The sequence below is a fragment of the Homo sapiens genome, chromosome 1 (genome assembly GCF_000001405.40).
Source record: "Homo sapiens chromosome 1, GRCh38.p14 Primary Assembly".
NCBI lineage: Eukaryota > Metazoa > Chordata > Mammalia > Primates > Hominidae > Homo > Homo sapiens.
This window is the reverse complement of record NC_000001.11, coordinates 239,114,549-239,121,315: the sequence shown is the minus strand read 5'-3', so window position 1 is coordinate 239,121,315 and position 6,767 is coordinate 239,114,549.

Sequence of the window (6,767 nt, the reverse complement as noted above, 5' to 3'; positions counted from 1 at the left end):
ACATTTTCTTAATCCAGTCTATCATTGTTGGACATTTGGGTTGGTTCCAAGTCTTTGCTATTGTGAATAGTGCAGGTGCTTGGGTTTCTAACCTTCTGACTCTGTCACCAATAGTAGGTGCCAAAATGAAGGCAAATCTCAGACCCAATGCTACCACGTATAAAACCATCTATTAGCAGAAATTACAAAAGGGATTGTCTGATCACATCTGAAAACTTGAAGTCAGAGCTCTCTGTCTTTGAACTGTGCACAAAACACTCACTCAAGACAAATGTGAAGCATCTTAGCAACAGAATTCAGTTAAATCTCAGGTCAGGCAGAAGAAATGTCTGATTATTTGCTAATACAGGTCTACTTCTGAATCCTAAACCTGCTCCAGAATGTACAGGGGGCTGAGCTCAATGCATTGTTGGTAGAGTGGGAATCTTAAATTTTCTAGTCAATGGACATCTCTTGGATATTTTTTAATATTGTCATGCTAATTGACACAACTAAGTAGTTAACCTAAGTTGTTAAAGACAGCCTTACACTTAGAGTAACTATATTTGAATTGTAAATTTCTGAATAACGGGCTTTTATGTAAGTAACACTGGAGTTGTTAACTAACCACCTCTAAAATATAGAGTAAAACTAACCCCAAACACCAGCCTTATTTTTAAAATAAAATAAATGGGATCCAAAAATTCACTGTGTTACAGCAAGATGATCTCGAGATATGAGACCTAGACAATACGGGGGATGTTGCCTGGTTCCTCCAAATAGTGAGAAATTTTGTCGGCTAGCACAGTTTTTGAGAACATGAGGTAGACTGAGAATATGAGGTAATCACTAATAAATTCATATTTAAACATGAGTTTTCATGAAATTTTATGTTATATATTGAACTATGTTGAATATTTCAAAATAAATGACAAAGCAAATAAGTAAATTTCTGCCAAGAGTCTCATGATGTTGATTACCCCATCACCATGAATTCTAAACCAAATCCACTTCCCTGTAGTCTTTTCTAAGAATAAGCAATTTATTTCTTTATCTCTAGTTATTTTTCACATCCTTAATCTCTTGTTCAAGAAGATATTTGATTAGAAAATTGCAAAAGAACTTGAAAGAGAAAACAAGAACAATAGAATAGAGCAAAATATTTTCTCACACAAAACAGAAAGAATTACATGTTTATTAAACAAAGCTTTGAGAATTGTTAGCCACTTTCTTCATGAGTATGAGTAACCAATGCTTTTAAGTTGTGAGCAATGAAAAAAATAATCTTTTTTATGCAAATGTAGTTGATATCAAGTTTAGTGTTAACCCTGCGAAATAAGTTCAGCATATAGGCTACAAACATAGACTTCAGGTAAGCTACCTGGATGTCACATCTGCTTCTGCTCTTTATTAACTGTGTAATTCTGGACATATTACTTAATCCCACTAGTTCTTGGTTCCTTCATATTTAACACATGTAAAATGGTGGATAATACTAGTAGTACATACTACATGGGGGGATAGGAGGAATAAATGAAGGCATAAAGTGCTATGACTATTTTGAAATTATGATTATTTGTTTCTTTCTCTACATCTCACTTAATCTGCTTTACTCACCCACTGAGTTGCTGCCTTAGGGATGTTCAAGAGTTTTCTGGAGTACAGAAGTTTCAAGGAAGGACCTCCCCTGAAATTCAGTTCATATTGGTAATAACATATTGCTAGTGCACACTAGTGTGTCGTCAGAATGACCATGCCCCATGAAGACAGGTGTTTTTCCACTCTCTACCAACCTTGGGTATTTCTCCACTGTACGGGCTAGAGGAAAAGTCACCTGCTAGCCAGTCTTCATAGACTGTCCAGCAGCTACCTCCATCTGATGTCCTGTGAATTCTCTAAGGTGTTGTGGAGGGAACAGAAGATGAACCCGTGCTATTCGCAGAAGACACAACACCACCATTCCTTTCTGAGTTATCAGGAAGTTCCATAATATCTCTTTTTTCTGCAATTTGTTGACTTCTACTTTCTAAATTTTAAGCCAAATCTTCCCATTCTTTGTCAGTAGCCATTGCTACCTTCCCACTGCAAAAGCCCCAGGAGCAAGATATTCCTTCTCCCCATCTGCAAGGAACCAGGATGGGCCCAGGACCTGAGCTCAGCTAAAAGACATTCATGCTGGGATGGTTAGTAATGGTCAGTGGCAATGGCTATAGTGTCTCTGAAGTGGAAACTGCCATGCAACACGTGGTTTGCATCCTGGCTAGACTCTCCCTGATGAAAGTAGAGTTCTGGTTTTGGAACTTTAGCGTTATCTTGGTTCCTGTGCATTTTCCAAGCTTTTTCCATCCTCTTTGCAATTCTGTGAGCCCTCATATCTTCTCTTGGCTTCTCCCTTTTGCTTAAATGCTGAGAGTTGGATTTTCTGACTAGCTAATGAACAATTTTGAATACAAAGAAATACAGTGTTTCCTAAAAGAAAATCAACAGCCCTCTGTCATTAATAAACATCATGCAAATCCTGAAGAAATGCTACCAAATACTTAGCCTGTTCAGAGAGTTCACCTAAATGGCTCATCACTGGTCAGCTTATTATATTTGCTATTATTCCTAGCATTCACTCTCTTTTTCTCTCCAGATCCCAGAATAATGCCTTTTTTGCTACTTCTGTTTAAATTGAGTGACCATTTGAAAATATGTCTCTATAATTTCAAACTCTTTTTATGTTGTGCAAGTAAAATTAAACTTGAAAATAAATTATATGCAGAATGTATGATTTTGGGGATTCATTGCAGTGGCCTCATTGCATCTAATGCCTGACTATGTTAGTTGATGTCATCAAATGTAGCTCATATAATTAAACTTGTAAGGTTTTTTTTTCACATTTTTCTATATTAGATCTCTAGGTAGATACTGTTTGAGTAAAGGGTTATTTTACTTCCAAAAATTGAAAATCTATGCTCTGGCTCTGCAAAATGCTTTCAATTATCTGGCGTATGTTTATAAGACCCTCTATGATTTGAGCATAACTAACCCCTTCAGCCTCATTTCTTTTAATGCAATGACTCATTTTTTAAAACGTTCTGACAACTGCTCAGCTTGTTGTCCTACTTCTTTCCTCCTACACAATGTGTTGTTTTTGCCTCATGTTTTCCCTTCTGCCTGGAACGCTTCCTCCACTCCTGTGAGCTGGCTAAATCCTGCTCTTTCCTTAAGACTTATCTATAGTGATAGTCCCCATACACGTTTATTTGGCTGAGTTAGGAGCCTGCAAATATAGCCCCGTGAAACCACGTATAGGTGATCTTTCTCACCATGTGTGCTCATTGGTTTTGCACTGTTTGTTTCCTGTCTGCCATAATGGAAGAGGACCTCCTTAAAGTCAGGAAAATCACGATGCTTGGCCCAAACTGAGACTCCATCCATGTTGACACACAGTATGATACCAATTTGTGAACAACAGAGTTCTTTATACATTTGTTAAAAAAGTCCAAAAAGTTAAATTTCCCCATAATCCATATCTACTCTAAGACATTTCAATGTACGTAGTTTAAAAAAAAAGAAATGAGAATATGATTTATATTCTCTAACAACCTGCTTTTGTCTTCCCAATTAAATGATAGTTTGAGAATTTTTGCAATGATTTTTTTCTCAACTGTTCACATAGTGATGTGGTACTACAGATCAGAGCCACACAACTATTGTGATTCGCTTTCCTTTGTAAACCTGGTTTTTTTTTCTTATTCGTATGTTCGCTATTTTTGTTTATTTCAGTGCTGTGTTTTTTGCATGTATACATCTGTATGTCTGAAAGTTTGTAGCGCTTCATTTTTAACATAGGAATTCAAAAATTCTAATAGGATGTGTATGCGGGAATAAGAGGTCCCAGTGTTTCCTTTTGCTCTAGAAATTTCTCATGTGTAATTAGTTCGATTATTAATTTCCATCCTTTTTTCTTTCTATAGGCTGCTAATGGGTATTGGCTTGCCTGGTTTTGCCAAGCATGTACTTTACCATTTTCTATGTGTTTTAGCCTTTCCCTTTCCCATAATTTTAATAAGAGTGGGTCATCACAAATTCAGTTTCTAGAACTATCCATTTTGTTACTGAATTATTACTGAGCTATTAAGTTTTGCAATCATGCTTTCTATTTCCAAGAACGCTTCTTGCTCTGATTGCCTCACTTTCTTTGCAAGTTGCTATTGTTTTTATCACTGCAATTCTCTTAAATCCAACTATGAACACTAATTAGATATTTTTAAGTCCGTTCATTTCTTTCTTTACATTTGCTTTCCTTGGTGAATTCGCTCTTATTTTGGAGTTTGAAGTTATTATTTCTGGCAGTTCTTTTCCGCCTGGGCCCAGTGTTGTATACAGATTGCTCACAGGGTAGCTCCCAGTTTTGGAAGCTGATGCTGGCTCCTCCAGGGATTCTGTGGCCCAGTGGTAATTTCTCACGCAGCATCTGTGGCCAGAGATTTCTACTTCCCCAAGTGTGCTGTCTGCATCTGAGTGAAACCTGCAATGTGGCAGGAGCAAGGGGTGGTGGATTCTGCTTCCAGCTATTCCAAATTCAAATGTCTAATAGAGATTCTCAAAATTTAACTTAGTTGTTGCTGTTGCTCTTCTTCCTTCTTCATCTTAAGTTGCCTAAAGGTTAGTTAATTGACCCCAAACTATTTATCAACTTGATTTCTCAGCTATTTGAAATGAATAGTTAATTATTACATATTGTTAATAAATATAAAAATAAATTCTTATAAATGAGGGCACTAAGTTTTACTAAGTTGTATTTCTTCAGAATCGTGATCCATTGAGGTTTTATTAATTACCGTGCATAAGTAACTGCATTAGTTTGTTCTCACATTGCTATAAATACCTGAGACTGGGTAATCTATAAAGGAAAAAGGTTTAATTGTCTCACACTTCTGCAGGCTGTACAGGAAGTATAGCAGCATCGGCTTCTGGGGAGGCCTCAGGAAGCTTACAATCATGGCGGAAGGGGAAGGGGGAGCAGGTCTCTCACATGGCGAAAGCATAAGCAAGCGGGTGTTGGGGAGAAGCCACACTTTGAAAACACCAGATCTCATGAGGACAGCACCAAGGGAACAGTGGTAAACCATTCACAAGAAATCCACCCCATGATCCAATCCGCTTCCACCAGGCCCCACCTCCAACACTAGAGATTACATTTCAACATAAAATTTGGATGTGGCCAATATCCAAACTATATCAGTAACATATTTGTTTAATTATTGAGATTTCAAAACCTTTCTTTTTATTTCTTCTTATTGAAAATGATCTTATCTATTGTGACTATCTACAATATCACTGAAATTTCTAGTCTCACTGTGGGATATCAAAGTAATCTCCACTGAGATTTATTTGAGATTATATAGAACCATTTGACTGAAGAATTTGTGTTTTAAAAATTTCTTGTTAAATATCCCCAGGAGCTGTATACTTGGTTATTATTTTGAATGAGATTTTTTTCCATCGTACATTCTATTTGGTTAAAACTTATCTGAGAAACATTTGGTGTTTCATATACTGACTGGCAAATGTTCATCTTACACATTTCCTCCTTCTGTCTTTCAGCTAAGTTTACTGTCTTTTTAAATTTATGTTAGACATATTTCACACACACAAACTAATATAACAATTCTAATAGTCTGTTAAAAATGATATTCAGCTTATATGCTTTTGGTATTTTAAAAGCTATAAATGGGCCAGGCATGGTGGCTTACTCCTGTAATCCCAGTATTTTGGGAGGCTGAAGTGGGTGGATCATGAGATCAGGAGTTTGAGACCAGCCTGGCCAAGATGGTGAAACCCCTTTTCTACTAAAAAATACAAAAATTAGCTGGGCATGGTGGCGGCTGCCTGTAATCCCAGCTACTCGGGAGGCTGAGGCAGGAGAATTGCTTGAACCTGGGAGGCTGAGTTTGCAGTGAGCTGAGATCGCGCCACTGCACTCTAGGCTGGGCAACACAGCGAGACTCCATCTCAAAAAAAAAAAAAAAAAGCTATAAATGTAGTTGAAATCCCTTTTATACTTCTCAGCCTTATTCCTTCTCATTTATTACCAGAAAAATACCTACATTTTTTAAGTAATTGTGTACCTTTCCCACCTGTGATTTAATAATTTTGTTACCTATGCATTTGTCCATAAACAATGCACAATTTTTTTTATTTTTTTTTTGAGACGGAGTCTCGCTCTGTTGCCCAGGCTAGAGTGCAGTGGCACGATCTCGGCTTACTGCAAGCTCCGCCTCCCGAGTTCATGCCATTCTCCTACCTCAGCCTCCTGAGTAGCTGGGACTACAGGCACCCGCCACCACTTCCGGCTAATTTTTTTGTATTTTTAGTAGAGACGGGGTTTCACCGTGTTAGCCAGGATGGTCTCGATCCCCTGACCTCGTGATCTGCCCGTCTGGGCCTCCCAAAGTGCTGGGATTACAGGCGTGAACCACCGTGCCTGGCCACACAGTGTTATTTCATATGTTTTATACTTTGCAAAATGATAATATACTACATGTATACTTCTAAACATTGTATTAATACTAAATTTTTTGTTTCTAAAAGTTTTTCGCATGTCCAATCCCAGATCTAGAAGTTGGAGAAATGGACTCCAATTCTTCAAGGGAGATGTTGAAAAGTACTGTGACTATTTACAAAGAGAAATTACTACAATAAAGAAAAACAAAACCAGCAAAAAATATCCGGATATTAACATATAATTTGATTTTGTAAACATGGTATTTATCACTGCATAGTATTTCCCCACTTGG